At 36.4% G+C, this 17480-nt stretch overlaps 1 protein-coding gene across 5 annotated transcripts in view; it reads left to right on the top strand.

The window, feature by feature from the left end:
• The window catches only part of GPRC6A (G protein-coupled receptor class C group 6 member A), a 37156-nt gene extending 20440 nt beyond the window's left edge, over positions 1 to 16716 (top strand). For 2 of the 5 annotated variants that reach the window (XM_017010475.2, NM_148963.4), the window contains 4 exons: positions 1595 to 2431; positions 8005 to 8217; positions 12966 to 13089; positions 15551 to 16716. In XM_017010475.2, coding sequence (XP_016865964.1) covers positions 1595 to 2431; positions 8005 to 8217; positions 12966 to 13089; positions 15551 to 16659 — 2283 coding nt within the window. In that variant the 3' untranslated portion in view covers positions 16660 to 16716. Of the gene's footprint in view, positions 1 to 1594; positions 2432 to 8004; positions 8218 to 12965; positions 13090 to 14272; positions 14586 to 15550 lie in introns of those variants that run through there. The other 3 variants (NM_001286354.1, XM_017010476.2, NM_001286355.1) reach the window with 3 other exon arrangements.
• Positions 16717 to 17480: the final 764 nt, after the last annotated feature.

Genomic DNA, 17480 nt, shown 5'->3' with positions numbered 1-17480 from the left:
TGAACATTACTCAGAGTCAATTAAGTCTCTTTGGCTTTCATTTTGAAATCACACTACTTTGTAACTCTCTACGTCACTGATTTCTAATCTTAAGGAAGAAGAGAAGCCAAAAGTTAGAAAAGAAAAAGGCTTATATTCAGATGATAAAGAAATGACCATCTGATAGAAGTGAGCAGACAGAAAATATATATAACATAATGAATGTGTATAAGAATTCAAAATATATAACATTTTGGAGGTAGAGTAAATAAATACATATACAAATAAAGACTATTAGCATTCCATTATATTATAGCCTAGTGACATCGGTAATAAAAAATTTAATCCAAAACGATTAAACAAAAAGAACTATTTATCAAATACATCAAAGATAAGGCTTTGGCTTAAAATTTCTAGACTATGTATGATACTAGTTAGGTGATACGTAAGGAAAGCAGACTTTTTTAACAACAACTGGCTAATGCAAAAATGCAATTTCTGTAATAGACGGCAGAAAAGGTAAGGGGACATTCTATGGGTAACACTAATTTTAAGAAAGCTCAGCTCTTAACAATGTGGCTGAGCATAGCAACATCAGGTACTTGGAAGGGAACTTAGGTTTACTGAAAGTCCACCATGTGCTCGCATCTATTTAAATTTTCTCCTTTAATCTTAGCAAGAATCTTATAACTTTACAGTAAAGAAACATTAAATAACGTTCCCAAATTTATTGGAGTTGGGATTCTAACAGTTTATCTGGTTCCCAAGCCTATTGTCTTTCCATCACACCACATGGCAGCTGTAAGTAGTTAAAAAAAAAAAAGAAGGAACGAAAGAAAAGAAAAAGAAAAAGAAATACTGAGCAAGTGACATGTTACTATTGCATCTATAGAAGGTAATAATTCACCAAAGCTATGAATCAGGCAAAACTTTGTGTACATTAAGTAGGTCTTCCAAAAATGCTGATATTTATTTGACTTCATCAGGAGTCAGAAAATCACAGCCTGCGGACCAAATGTGGTTCTCATGCTCTTGAGCTTTCAGGCTAAAAATAGTTTTTACATTTCTAAAAGGTTGTAACAAAAAAATAGATATGACAGAGACTATATATGACCAAAAAGCTTAAAATATTTTATATCTCGTTCTTTACAGGAAAATTTTGTTGACCCCTGGACAAGATGATTATTTGACTGATTAACTTTACCTAGAATAAAATTACCCAAATTATGAATTAGACAAGATTTTGCACACACTGATGTTCCAAACTGCATTTTGCTTATATGATGGACCGCATTTACCTCTAAGTATTTAAATAATATCCACCCTTGGCCCCTGGCCAAAGATATAAGATAAATATAGAAGAATATAGACGTGTAAATGGAAAATGAGATACAGCCTGAATTCTCAGAGGGCCTATACTAAACAAAATATGAAATAATTAGAAAGCCATGATTCTAAACCATCATCAGGGGCTAAGTAAGGAGAAGGATGAAAAAGACTAGAGAATTTAAGGAAAGTCATGAAAATTTACAGCAATCAAAGAAAGGAACACCTACTGTGAACAGTTACCTGGAGTTCATCAACACCATAACTAAAATATTCTGTCTATTTCCAGGTGGGTTATGAATCAACTGCAGAAATCCTGAGTGACAAAATTCGCTTTCCTTCATTTTTACGGACTGTGCCCAGTGACTTCCATCAAATTAAAGCAATGGCTCACCTGATTCAGAAATCTGGTTGGAACTGGATTGGCATCATAACCACAGATGATGACTATGGACGATTGGCTCTTAACACTTTTATAATTCAGGCTGAAGCAAATAACGTGTGCATAGCCTTCAAAGAGGTTCTTCCAGCCTTTCTTTCAGATAATACCATTGAAGTCAGAATCAATCGGACACTGAAGAAAATCATTTTAGAAGCCCAGGTTAATGTCATTGTGGTATTTCTGAGGCAATTCCATGTTTTTGATCTCTTCAATAAAGCCATTGAAATGAATATAAATAAGATGTGGATTGCTAGTGATAATTGGTCAACTGCCACCAAGATTACCACCATTCCTAATGTTAAAAAGATTGGCAAAGTTGTAGGGTTTGCCTTTAGAAGAGGGAATATATCCTCTTTCCATTCCTTTCTTCAAAATCTGCACTTGCTTCCCAGTGACAGTCACAAACTCTTACATGAATATGCCATGCATTTATCTGCCTGCGCATATGTCAAGGACACTGATTTGAGTCAATGCATATTCAATCATTCTCAAAGGACTTTGGCCTACAAGGCTAACAAGGCTATAGAAAGGAACTTCGTCATGAGAAATGACTTCCTCTGGGACTATGCTGAGCCAGGACTCATTCATAGTATTCAGCTTGCAGTGTTTGCCCTTGGTTATGCCATTCGGGATCTGTGTCAAGCTCGTGACTGTCAGAACCCCAACGCCTTTCAACCATGGGAGGTACTAACTCACACATCCAAGAAAAACTCTTCTACCATCATTTTCCCCATTTCCTCCCTTGTTTTAATTTGCAAAGATTTATATTAATTGCTCTTAATCCTATTCCTTTTATAAATAGACACTTTCAGTGTTTAAATAACCAGCATTTCTATCATAGTGCCTTACTCTTCAAGATAACAGAGTTGTGTTTTATCTTCACTTCCTACTCTGACCTACCAAAGTTGTATTCTTTTATTTCTCATGAAAATTCTTTTGATGTTGCTATTTTCCTTGAGTCATATAAATTATCGCTTTTAAATGCTCTTAAAAAACACAAGAGTTAGAGCAGACACGTTTAATAATCCTTTTGTTTTTTACTAAATATGATGGATGAGGAAACTAAAGCTGGGGAGTACCAGAAATACAACTGCAGTCTGGGTCTTCTGACTCCACCTTCCTTGCTTTTCACTGTCTTTGGTGGTTTATAATCCCAACACCTATAGTTAAGACTCTCAGTTAGGATGGAGGTAGAGTAAATAAATACATATACACATAAAGACTCTAATGGTCTTTATGTGTATATGTATACACGTAAAGGACTTGGACTCCAGTTTTCTTCAAAGGAATGTTGTTAGGTCAATTATGATATTCCAGGTTTAAAGAAACCAGCAATTGTGTGTAAAAGAGCTTTTTCCCTTTCTTCTCTTTGATTAGTTTGGGGAAACTTAAAATTTAATATGGCTTTAATTTAGTGAGAATTTTCCATTGTGCTTTCTCAAATGCCCTTGAACAAGGCATTGAAAAGTAAATTGCTTCTTTTAATAATGATGTTTTACTTATTAGAAATAAATGTCTCAATAATATGTATTCAAAGGCAAACTTGTATGTCCTGAGGCAGAATCATGTTACAAAATATATAAGTTTTAAATTTGTAAGAGAAAAGAAGGTAAAAGAAATGAGACAATTCTTCTGATCATACAAGTGGGTATCTAGAACAAGTTTTTTCTACTTTTGTCATTTTTTTTTTTACTTTAAACACCCAAAACTACCATATTCGAGGTCTGATATGACCAGTTAACATTTGGGAGGATCATGCAATGGTGGGAGGGTATTTTAAATTGCTCACTTTTAAACTACTTTTCACCTTATGAATACAAAGCCAAAAATCTAATAAGGAGGTAAAACTAGAGATTAGGACCTTTTCTCAATTGCAAACACTCTTTTAATATATATATAGTTATGTCTGATGACTTTAAGACACCTATATGAAAGCATTCTCTTTGTAGTATAAAACTTTAATGATGGTGGTAAAAACCATAAATTATCTTTTTTAGATCATCATTATTCACTATATTCCAAGTTCAGTACAATGTTTTCTAATATATTTCAAGGCTTTTGGCCTGGTGCACTGCAGAAAAACTGTTTTAATTTTTAAAATTAGACTACAGTAATAATACCACCACATAGAATTTTAGAAATAAGAGATTGAGAAAGAGAAATAGAGAACAGTTGTGGAGACAGATGACATAAAGTGGAGCGGGGGATGGTTATATAAAGAACCTCATAAGGACAAAGAAATGCAAATAGCAAGAGTTATTCACCCCCTGAAGATCTGGGGAAAAATAGAGAAAGTATTTTAAATTAGGAATAAGTCTCAAACACTTCAAGGATAAGATTTGAGAAGAAATTATCTAAGCAGAGTCTCCTAAAATGTTTTATTTAAACACTAGGAGCCTGGAGTCATTCTTTTTGCCCTCAGAGCCTGTTAATCTAGAAACAAACAGAAACAGATTAGAAAGGAAGAACAGGGGGATGACTTGCTCCTTTGATCAAGACGTGAGTGAGCCACATCAAGTCAGTGCTAGAGTCAGTAAGACAAACAATACAAAGAGTTATCCTTTTATAAAGAAATCTCTGTAGACTTAAACTTTAAAGATCAGCAACATTTAGGGTCCCTAGTCAATGATACATTCTTAAGGATTACTTTGTACCCTAGCAAAATTCACTAATATTTAAATAGCACTTTCTAAATGATTTTAGATGCAAATAATTTTAAAGGGGTTAATTTTTCCCAGTGTTTGAGGATAGCACTTATTTTGGCCCTATATGTGGTCATATTTGTGAGCCATACTCAGGGACACCACAGTCGTGCTTGTTTTACTTCAGCAGATTTTTAATGTTCCTCAGATGTGTGTGGAGGATACCACCTCCTTGCTGTGACTAGAGATTTCGGTTTTTTTGTTTGTTTGTTTTCCTTTACTTCTGATGATATATAAGGTAGTAAGTGATGTATGAGAAAAGAAAGAATGCCTAATAGTTGAACTTCTATTCATATATTTATTTAGCAAATGTTTGGTGTCTCAATGTTTCAGGCAGTGTGTTGAGTGGTGAAGATATTACGGAGAACAGGACAGAATTCCTTCCCTAAAGGAATTATCTGTCCATTGATATATACAATCAAACAAGTAAGGGGCTGATTACAATGAAGGATGGTACACTACAGTGTTTCACATAAACACAAGATGGCAGAGAAGTACATAAGTGAGACAGCTAATCCAGTATTAACAATTCAGAGAACATTCTCCAAAAAACATGACCTCTATGTGAATGCAAGGAAGGGTAGCAGTTAGCCAGAACAGAAATATTCCAGCAAAGTCCCAGAAAAGGGAGAAAAGAAAGCACAGCATCTTTAGGAAGCAGGAAATCATGGCATATGACTGGAGTCTTGCATGAGAGCTGTAATGGACTAACTGAATGAGTGAGTGAAAGACATATTATTAGAGCCTTGTCCATCAGGGCATCTCAAACTTTGATGTGCAGTTGACTTTCCTGGGAATCTTATTATCATGTTAATTCAGTGGTTCCACAGTGGGATTGAAAAGTCTACATTTTTAACAATGTCCCAGATGATGCTGATACTGCTAGTATAGAGACTCCCCCTTAAATGGAAATGTTGCAAACTATGTTCAAAGGTTTGAACTTGACAGAGGATAGGGCAGCTAATTAAAGACATTTTCAGGCAGAAGAGTGATATGATATTTTTTCCATCCAAGGTGAATTGATTAGAGGGACACAAGACTGAAGGAAGAAACACCAATTTGGTAAATCAGACATAAGATAAGAATGCCTACAGGTATGAAAATAAGGATGAAAAGATGTATATATGGATATTTAAGAGGGAGGATGAAGAATATTTGGAGATCAATTGGATGTAAATGATGACAGAGAGCATCAAAAATGTTGCAGATGATTCCAATATTGGACAACTGGTGTCATTTGTCAAGCTGGAAACATAGAGAAAAGTGGAGGTCTGGTGGGAGTAAGAAATATTTAGCATTCCATTTTGGAGATGTTGAATTTGATGAATTTATGAGACATGTATTGTAAGTGTAGCAAGGTAGTTGCATATTAGTCCAGAAGTCAAGAGAGACATGAGAGTAATTTTGGCATGGTAAGATAATAGTAACTAATAATTTTTAAAACATATGGTTCTAGGTACTGATATACACCACCTCTAATCTTTATAAAATATGGTAGGCCGACAGGACTCATCTTCCTTAAATTCCATCTTGAAGAAGTAGTAAGAAGAAGTGTTTCTAGTGACCAAGACTTGTCAGAGTTTAGAGATGGAGGGAACCTTAACAGTAAAGACCTGTCCCGTGGTGATTCACACAGTTAGCAATGAAACTGCTGCCCCAGCCTTAGATCAATGTGTTTTCTGCTTCACAAAAGAAGGTATCGTCTGGGCATCAGGACACAGAGGCAAGGATGTTTCCTCTGCTCTTCTCTAACTTAGCCATGAAGATACCTCTTTCCACAGTAACCTTACTTAATGAGGTAGAGCAAGCATCAGCACAGTTAGGACAATGAAAAACAATATCAACCATATCACTTTAATTGGTGTGATTCCTGGCCATGTGTGCTTAAAAACTAGGCATTATCATACACAGGTGAATAAGATAATAATTGAAATGCAAATCCCATTCTCTAAATTTTGTAGTGTCAATTGATAGTGAATTTCAGAGTCTCCATGAAAATTTTTTTAAATGATATGAAAAAGCAGTTAACAGCTTAATAACTGGAGTGGTAATGTTTAAGATTAACCTTACTTCAAAGCAAATGTTTTATTATATTTAATGAGTAATGAAAATACTGTTGTATTTGCTTCCACCCTGTTTCCTGTAAGAGCAAGCATAAAATTGTGGAAGTTTATTTACATTATACAATTTTATGATTATTTACAGAACAAATACATGTGAGAACTTTAGCCTATAAAGCCTAATTAAGCACAGGAAAAAAGAGGTAGAAATTATAGTTCAAACACTTGTGTGGAAGAGGATGTGCTCCCTAAAGAACTGAGTTACTGGGGTTTACATGTGTATATTGCTTAAGGAAAGAACAGAAGAAACAAACCAGTCAACAGATAGAAGTGAGAACATTGGAGGTAGGCCCTTGCATATTCTTTTATTTTTGTTCTCTCCTCTTTTTTTTCTTCCAGGCAATTGCTAGAATAAAATTTTGTTAGTGAATTCCACCATGTTAGATCTGATATCCTGCTTCTTTAAAGTAACACTAATTAATTGATATTCATTAAAAGAGCTAAGACATCTGTGGGGACATAAATACACACACGTAGACATTCTGCTAAAGTAACATTTCTCATTGATGTTACCATCATAGCTAATCTATTTACTTGAAAATATAACTTATTTTTTATATTCTATTGACAAAAAATTGAAACACTCATAAAAAGTTAACTCAAAAGAAATAGAATAGAATAATTGTCTTCAAATAGAATAATTTCTGCCTTATTCTATAGATTTTATACCCAACAAAAGCCACACAGAACCATAGATTTAGATAATAAATGGGCCATTATGAAAGCATTCAGAGAGGATATTTACTTGACATACTTATATATTAAGTTAATGGTGAAGCCAGAACAGCAGCCTGTTTCCCTACATTCCAGCCTATTGTTCTTCCACTACAGCACAACCTCAGTATGGCTATCCCATTTGTAAACAAAATATTTTTTGTCCTAACTCTATAGTATACAAGCTCTCACTGTGCAAATTAGGTAGCAAGACAGGTAATTTATCCTTATATTTCTTTCTTCTCAAGTTAAAAAATAAATCATTTTGTGAATTAGCTTAGAAATATAATTTAGAGATCACTTTACTACATACTCAATCATTGAAACAAACTTAAGAACCATTGGAGATAATCAGATAGAAAGTAATTGTACTTGCATTGATGAGAGATGGAACCAGAGTTAGATCCCAGGTGTCTATACCAGGGGACCCATTCTAAAATTCTGTAGGATAAACGAAGATACTTAGAAACAACCATCTATAGAAATTAACTTGCTTTCCCAAATTTATATAGCAAAAGTTAGGCAGAAATGAGGCTAGGACCCAAGTGAAATTCATTCTCAAATTGTTGCCAGATAGTTAAGAATTCTCCAACCAGTGATTTATAATCTTTTTTCCCTCATTTTTAAGTGATATGCTTTATAAGGCAGTGTTATCATTAGAATAATGGATACATTTGCAACATTTATATTAAGTGCTTATCTCTGTTTTTATTTTTTATAGTTACTTGGTGTGCTAAAAAATGTGACATTCACTGATGGATGGAATTCATTTCATTTTGATGCTCACGGGGATTTAAATACTGGATATGATGTTGTGCTCTGGAAGGAGATCAATGGACACATGACTGTCACTAAGATGGCAGAATATGACCTACAGAATGATGTCTTCATCATCCCAGATCAGGAAACAAAAAATGAGTTCAGGAATCTTAAGGTAACCTTGTTGTAGGCCGTTTTGTAGCACTCAAAGCAATTGGTACCTCAACTGCAAAAGTCCTTGGCCCCCACTCTTCATCATACTCATCTGGCCAAACACAATCCCTGTTAATCAAGTTTCTGCCTAATCAGTGTAGCTCCTATTTAGCTGAAGTTGGCAAAAGAGGAAAGAAAAAGAAAGAAAGAAAGAGAGAGAGAGAGGGAGGGAGGGAGGGAGAGAGAGAAAGAAAGAAGGAAAGAAGGAAGGAAGGAAGGAAAAAAGAAAGAAAGAAAGGGAGAGAGAGAAAGAGAGGAAGGAAGGGAGGGAGGGAGGGAGGAAGGAAGGAAGAGAGAGAGAAAGAAGGAAAGAGAGAAAGAAAGAAAGAAAAGAAAAGAGAGAGAGGGAGGGAGGGGAGGGGAGGGGAGACTGCTGACTAGTCTCATTTTAAATTCATGATCTCTAGCCTCCAGTGGGCTCTTAATGCTGCAGGGCAATCAGATTATTGCCCTAGTTCATGAACTCACCTTCCTAGATGGCTATTTTATGCCTTCTCTTCTCTCCTCTGAGATCAGTACATCTTTCCTGTTCTCATTTCAGTTAACTCTATTTTCTGTTCTAACAAAACTGAAACATCAGAAGAGAATTCCAGTGGCCACTGTCACATCTGTGCCAGTACCCCTGCCTTCCATCTGGCACTATAGACAGACTGTCTGTGCCCCTAGTCAAGGTCAGCTCCTCCACTTCACCTCTGGGTCCCAACCTCTTTCACTTATTCAAAGACATTACTTGGTAATTTTATACCCTCTCTCCTTTATTCTCAATCATTCTTTCTTCTACATTATACACATAATGAGATAAATAGGTCATTATTTCTCTCATCTTAAAACAAAGAACCTTTGTTGTTCCCCCAAGTCTTTCTTTGTATACTCTATTTCTCTTTACAGTAAAACTCCCTGAAACAGTTGAATACATTTAATGACCCCAATTTCTCTCCTCCTATACTCTTTTGAATCCTCTTCAATCCATCGAAATTGTTTCTGTCTAGCTCACCAAAGTTAATAAAGCCAAATATTAACATATATCACTTACCAGCTAATTATTCTCCCCTCAATGAAATATTTTATTTGTTTGCTTCCATGACACTACATTTCCTTGATTTTCTTCCTGTGTATCTTGCCACTAATTCTCTGTCTCCTTTGCTAGTTCCTCATCATTCACACTACCTCTAATCATTCAGGTGCCCAGGACTCAGAACTGCTCCTCTTTTTATCTACACCTTTCCTTAGTGATCTTATCCAGGTTTGGGGCTTTAAATGATATCATTATATGGGAGTCTGATGACTATTAGATTTTTATCTTCTGACTTCTAACCCAAATAAATATACAACTGCCTAGTTGACATCTCTACCTGGATGCGTAGCAGTCAACTTAAATCTCCAAAACAGAACTGATATTCTCTCCCAACCTACTCACCTCTCAATAAACAGCAACCCCCTTCTCCTAGTTGCTCATGAGAAAACCTGCTGGGATTCTTGTCACCTCTCTTTCGGTCACACTCCATAACCAATGAGTTTTACTTTCAAAATGTGTCCAGAAGCTGACCACTTTTTACTACCTACTCCACTGCTGTTACAATCACTTCTCACCCAGATTATTGTAGAAGGTTTTCTGCCTCCCCTCTTATTCCTTTGGTCTGTTTCTTTTTTTTTTTTTTTTTCCAAGATGGATTCTTGCTCTCTCATCCAGGCTAGTATGCAGTGGCGTGATCTCGGCTCACTGCAACTTCCGCCTCCCAGGTTCAAGCATTTTGCTGGTCTCAGCCTCCCGAGTAGCTGGGATTACAGGTGTGTACCACCATGCCCGGCTAATTTTTGTATTTTTAGTAGAGACGAGGTTTAACCATGTTGACCAGGCTAGTCTTGAACTCCTGACCCTGTGATCCACCTGCCTCGGCCTCCTAAAGTGCTGGAATTAGAGGCATAACCCACCGCGCCAGCCCCCTTCAGTCTGTTTTCAAAACAGAGACACAAGTGGTCCTGTAAAACATAGTGCTCTGCTCAGAATCCTTTGATGACATCCTATTTCTCTGAGAGTAAAAGCCATATCTTTAAAAATTCTACACAACCTACCCCCAGTACGAACCTGACCTTATCTCCCACCCTCCCCTTACTCTACAGCCCTCCTGCGATCCCACAGGCTTTTCAGTCTTCCATGCATGCTTCCCTTCTCATAGCCCAAGGACTTTGCCCCTGCTATTTCCTTTGCCTATAATAATTTTCTCTGATGTTCATGTGGTTAATTTTCTTATTCCTTTCTGTCTTTTCTAAAATGTCACCACCTCAGTGAGAGCTTCCCTGGACACTTATTTAAAAATTGCAACATCAACCTAGTAGTTCTTATTCACTGTCCTATCCTTATTTTTCTCCTTAACACTTATAACTTTCTGTCATTCTGTACATTTTGCTTATTTTAACTCTGTCAGTCTTGTCAACTAGAACTTAAGTTCGACGAGCTAAATATTTGTGTTTCATTCCCCACTGTGGCTTCAACAATTAGAACAGTGCCTAACATATAGATAGGCACTCAACAAATATTTGGTGAATGAAAGAATGAACACAGTAATGCTGTAAACCATTTTCCTTAATTTGATTTCCCCTGGCTGTAAAAGTTTTAGTAAAGCAAGATACTTCTTCCTTGAAAGACAGAAACGTAGCCATTCTTCTGTGTTCTCAAACTTTCACTGTCATCATCTTCATTTTCCTTACCATTATCCTCACAACTACATTACGAACCCAGCACTCTGCTAAACACTGTAACTCATACTGAAACTTTTAAAACATGCTCTGATTCATTTCCTTTTTGAATGCAGAGATGGTTATTATTTTTGCAAGAAACACTGTTGTTATCAATACTTATCTCCAGACTCTGTAGGGAATTCACTTAATGAAGAGAAGGTGACAGAATGACAGGTAATTATGTGAGGCTCTTAGTGACTAAATGGAAGAGGCTGACCACTACAAACAGAGAGACAAGTCTTCCTTTCTGATGGAGACACCTATAATTATTTCAAGGATACAGTAAAAACCAACAATATCTGAAATCATTTAGGTCAGATTTCCGGATTTGTCAATTTGCAGGCTAGTTAGGGTATTGACATTTCTGGTAAGTCACCAGAACTCATAGTCCAAAACATCAGATAATCCTAAATCAATTGAAATCTAAAGTAATTAGTACAAGATTTTAGACTGTCTTTGCTCTTGATCAGAGGGAGAGAGGGGACCCTAACAATGTCTGGCTTTATCTCGGAAATGTCCAACAATGATAGACTGGATTAAGAAAATGTGGCACATATACACAATGGAATACTATGCAGCCATAAAAAATGATGAGTTCATGTCCTTTGTAGGGACATGGATGAAATTGGAAATCATCATTCTCAGTAAACTATCGCAAGAACAAAAAACCAAACACCTCATATTCTCACTCATAGGTGGGAATTGAACAATGAGAACACATGGACACAGGAAGGGGAACATCACACTCTGGGGACTGTTGTGGGGTAGGGGGAGGCGGGAGGGATAGCACTGGGAGATATACCTAATGCTAGATGACGAGTTAGTGGGTGCAGCGCACCAGCATGGCACATATATACATATGTAACTAACCTGCACATCGTGCACATGTACCCTAAAACTTAAAGTATAATAATAATAAATAAATAAATAAAATCCTTTTGTGTCCTCTGAGCACCCTCCAGGAGAGTAGATACGTTAAAAGTTTGCCCTGGGGAATTCCCAAGGCATATATACTGCCTGCTGAAAACCCAGGTCAGCAATAACTGGAGAGAAGAAGAAAACCAGTGCTTGCAGACCCAGGGCCTACTGAATCTTTTCATTTCTCTCTCAGACAGATCATTTGCATCTTCCAGAGAAAGACTGGATAGCTTAGTACTTCAGTTGTGTTCCAGAGTAGGAAATTATGGATAAGAGAATCTTGAGAAAGACTCATTTAACCATTCTGCTCTGCTCCAAGGGTAAAAGTGACATGACAAAGCAGATTTCTCTCACAAGATATGCTGTGAGAAAGGGACTATGAATGGAGAATAACATAGCTGAAATGCAAAGAATTACCAGCTACGGTTCCATAAAAGTAGAACGCTGCAGTGATTCAAATTGTGACATGCAAATTATAACTTGAATTCTCAAGATTATTTAAATAGTATATATTTAGGCCTGTCTTTTAAATCTAATATTCTAATATTAAATTAGAGTATTAAATTTTAAATTTTATTTTAAACTCAAAATGTTTCTTTTTTTTTTATTTTTTGGAGTTAGACAGGACATGCTCCTTGACAGCATGATAAAAACTTTCTTTCAAAGATTATAAAAATCTAGCCATTTGCTATTTTCTTATCTAGTGGAACCCTTCATTCAACATGGGATTGAAACTTTCCAAACCGTCATTATTTTCTTTAGTTCTAGTACTACACATTTCTCCCTCTACTAGGGACTTTCTGAAAGGGCTAATTTCCATAATTTGCTTACAGAAGTTATTAATGCAACAAAAACTGTGTTCTTCGTAAAGCAGCTTCTCCATCTTAAAATCCTGTTTACATTTCCCACGATGGCAAAAAGATTCTATAATCCTATGAAAAAAGACCAAAATAGTATTTAGTAAATATATCTTTAAGTTAAGCCGAGGATAATCGATTAGGATAATTTTTTTTACAAATTTACTTGTGATTTTTTTTTTCACTTTTAATATAGCAAATTCAATCTAAATGCTCCAAGGAATGCAGTCCTGGGCAAATGAAGAAAACTACAAGAAGTCAACACATCTGTTGCTATGAATGTCAGAACTGTCCTGAAAATCATTACACTAATCAGACAGGTAATCACAGTCACTCCACATACACCTGAATCATTCCTCTTAGGCTTTTTTTTTCTTTGCATGAATTTTATTTTGGTTTGTTTTTCATTTGAAAAAATTTAAAAAGCTTCCCATGCTCCTGTGAAATTAAATTCCAGTGAAATTTCATTTTATCTTGGAATTTGCTCTATTATGTCAACAGGTGCACAGCAAATAAATAATAGAGATGTAAAAGTTACTTTACTTCCAAGGGAAAATGTTATCGCTTCGCTCATATTTTTTAAAGTATGCAACTCTTAAAGTGATGCAAGTTCTCTGTCAATTTTGTCCATGTATCCCTATACAGATGTGCTTGGCTTGTAACTGAGGTACAAAAAAAATACAAATAAGTAAATGTTGAATTAACTAAACATAATAGAAACCCAGAGGCACCCGGAGTTAAGAAACAGGTGTGCACATCCTGGCACTTTTATTATTTCTACCAGGAAACAAAAGTTAAACCTAAAAGAAACTTCTGTGAGACAAGGGACCAACTATCAACAGGGATGAGATGCTAGTAAATGACTGTTTGCCAACCCTATCTTTAAAAATTTCACAAAATGAAAGCAAAATACACAAATTAAAGTACAAGAGTGAGGTCAGCAGCCTTAGGAGCCTAAAAAGAAACTATGAGCACTTTCCCTGGAGTTAAGCCTAATTTAAAAGCATCAGATGTTGTTGTTTATTAGAGCATTCCCATTCATCTTGTAGAAAAGCTGAGAACTCCGGAACTGGAATAGTCCCCAAATGCCTATTCTTTTTGCTTACTGGCTTCAAGAAGAGAAGTATACCAATGAAAATATTCCAAGATTCATGTTCTGTTATGTGTCACACAAAAAATGCCATTTATTCCAACCTGAGAGTATCAAAACTTTATATGTATCTGCATTTTATTATCTCACATTTAAAATTTTCCCGTTCCTTGGTATGTTTAATAATGTTTATATTAGTGGAATTGAGCATTTAAATTATCAATAAATAAAAATGCTATACCACTGCCTAAAAAATTAGATAATTAGCGAGGGAGTTTTTCAGGCAACATGGTAACTAGCAACTACCTTCCAAGTGAGAGAAATAAAAACACCAAGGAGTATGTAACATTTATTTTCCATAAAGACGTACGGGACCCTTTAAAGGCTGTATCTGGGTTTTCTTTTGGTAACAGGGTAAGTCGCTTCCAAGAACAAATGGAGAAATGTAGAAGACTGAAGACAACTTGGAGGATAAGCTAGGAGTTAGGAAAGCCTAAAAGGATACCATCTGCTGTTCCTCTCTATCTCTCTAACACACAGCTCCCATACCTAGATGAGGCCATTAAATGTCCACTGGACGAATGAAATGACAGACACTAGCAACTGTGGTTACAGGGCAAACAGAAAAGAACAGATTTTTTAGGGGAATAGAGTTCGGAAAGAGGAGGAGGCTGGAAGGGTCATGAAGTTTATAAACAGAAATACAACCTTACTTTGAGGTTAATAAAGAAGAGAACACAAAATTTTAAAGAGTTGTACAGGCTGTGGGGTGTCATCAGATGAATGCCCTGACAGAGGCCCTTTGATTGCAGCTGAGACTCACCAACTTTGGGTGGCTGGAATGGGGAGCAAATGTAATATCACTTCTAGAGACAAAACTCTAAAATCAAGTATTTGTGCTGCCCTGCAGCCAGAATAAGCATAAATACTTTTCAAAGTTAACACTTACAGTGTGAGAGGCTCTGATTTACCCACTACTTGGAGAAAAAATAAACTTTAATTCTTCATCAATTGCCATCGATTACAATTTTGCATTATCTCACTTTTAGAAAGAGACTTCAAGCTTTCAGAGTGACCTAGCCATATTGCCTCTGCTTTTGAAAGACCTGCACCCTTATTCACGATAGCAACTCCCATACATTGAGGGTCTACTATGTGTAATGGTCTGTGTGAAGCATTTTACATTTATTATCTCATTAAGTACGGCATCACAATACGGCAGAGTCTTTTCATTTTATTATTTTTTGAGATATGGGAGATTCTGAAATAGGCTCAGAAAGTTCAGTTAGTTTGTTCAAGTTTACAGGAATTATAAGTGGAAGAGATAAGAAAAGCTACGTCTGATTCCAAAACCTTATTCTTAAGAGTGCTGGAACCATCATCTATAATAGCAAATGCATAAGAAGCTAGCATCTATTCTGAGTATATTCATTTCCTAAACATTCACAATCCAGCTGGCTTTTTTTCTTTCTCTATTTTCTCTTTCTTTTCCTTTTTCCTCACTTTTACCCTTTCTCTCTCACTTTCTTTGAGTTTTAGCATGTTTTATTTTAATAAGTAACCAATGTAACAATCATCTATATCTATTCTCTAGTCAGAACTATTAAAGAAGACGAATCTCATTTGTAGTATTGTGGACTATCACCTAGTTTAAATGTTGACAATGTAACTGCGTCTCCTCTGTCTTTTAGATATGCCTCACTGCCTTTTATGCAACAACAAAACTCACTGGGCCCCTGTTAGGAGCACTATGTGCTTTGAAAAGGAAGTGGAATATCTCAACTGGAATGACTCCTTGGCCATCCTACTCCTGATTCTCTCCCTACTGGGAATCATATTTGTTCTGGTTGTTGGCATAATATTTACAAGAAACCTGAACACACCTGTTGTGAAATCATCCGGGGGATTAAGAGTCTGCTATGTGATCCTTCTCTGTCATTTCCTCAATTTTGCCAGCACGAGCTTTTTCATTGGAGAACCACAAGACTTCACATGTAAAACCAGGCAGACAATGTTTGGAGTGAGCTTTACTCTTTGCATCTCCTGCATTTTGACGAAGTCTCTGAAAATTTTGCTAGCCTTCAGCTTTGATCCCAAATTACAGAAATTTCTGAAGTGCCTCTATAGACCGATCCTTATTATCTTCACTTGCACGGGCATCCAGGTTGTCATTTGCACACTCTGGCTAATCTTTGCAGCACCTACTGTAGAGGTGAATGTCTCCTTGCCCAGAGTCATCATCCTGGAGTGTGAGGAGGGATCCATACTTGCATTTGGCACCATGCTGGGCTACATTGCCATCCTGGCCTTCATTTGCTTCATATTTGCTTTCAAAGGCAAATATGAGAATTACAATGAAGCCAAATTCATTACATTTGGCATGCTCATTTACTTCATAGCTTGGATCACATTCATCCCTATCTATGCTACCACATTTGGCAAATATGTACCAGCTGTGGAGATTATTGTCATATTAATATCTAACTATGGAATCCTGTATTGCACATTCATCCCCAAATGCTATGTTATTATTTGTAAGCAAGAGATTAACACAAAGTCTGCCTTTCTCAAGATGATCTACAGTTATTCTTCCCATAGTGTGAGCAGCATTGCCCTGAGTCCTGCTTCACTGGACTCCATGAGCGGCAATGTCACAATGACCAATCCCAGCTCTAGTGGCAAGTCTGCAACCTGGCAGAAAAGCAAAGATCTTCAGGCACAAGCATTTGCACACATATGCAGGGAAAATGCCACAAGTGTATCTAAAACTTTGCCTCGAAAAAGAATGTCAAGTATATGAATAAGCCTTAGGAGATGCCACATTCCAGAATAAAATGTTTCCAGGGTCTTTGCATCTAAGATATAAATTTACTTTCCCAGCAAATATGTCATATATATTTCCTTGCCACCATCTTTACCAAGTTTTAGTTGAACAGTCACTCTGTTCAATCACCTATTTAACAAATAGAATTGAGCCTTCAGCCTGAAGCTCCCTTCATTTCCTACCTTTTTCATTGGTCTCCATCTTTACCTGCTTCCTCTTAGGCACATCGTTAAAGACTTCTCTTCTAATCAAAGTTGTCCCGTAATGTGTCATCCTTACTCCATTCCCGACACCCTCTTCTCAAATCTCTTTGGATTCTCCTCTCTTGAGCATTTTTACTTTTCTTCCACTGTTCAGTGTAGTTGAACAAGCACTTGAGCAATTACTATGAACCAGTTGATATGCTAAATAACAAGGTACAAAAGCAGCAAGGTGTCTTTGATGATCTCAAGGAGCTCAAAATCCAAGGAGAAACAGGCACATATCAACATCTTCAATCAGTGTGAGGAAGTCTATGATTATAATGTATATAGAGCATTACAGTGGTATAAAGAAATGGCACTCAACCACACTGGGAGAGGATGGGAAGGCTTAAGAGAAGACTTTAAATAAAGAGTATGATGTTTAGGTGAAACCCTGAAAGATGAGTAGGAGTTAGCTAATTAGAGAAAGCACAGAAAGGTATTCTAGATAAAGGAGGAAAGTGGGAGCAACAACAGAAAGTGCGACAAGAAGGTGCATTCAGGGAATTATCATTTTGGTATTACTGGAGAGGAGCCCTCTTCGGTATGTAGAGG

This window comes from Homo sapiens, chromosome 6 (genome assembly GCF_000001405.40).
Source record: "Homo sapiens chromosome 6, GRCh38.p14 Primary Assembly".
NCBI lineage: Eukaryota > Metazoa > Chordata > Mammalia > Primates > Hominidae > Homo > Homo sapiens.
This window is presented reverse-complemented; position numbering and strand designations above follow the sequence as displayed.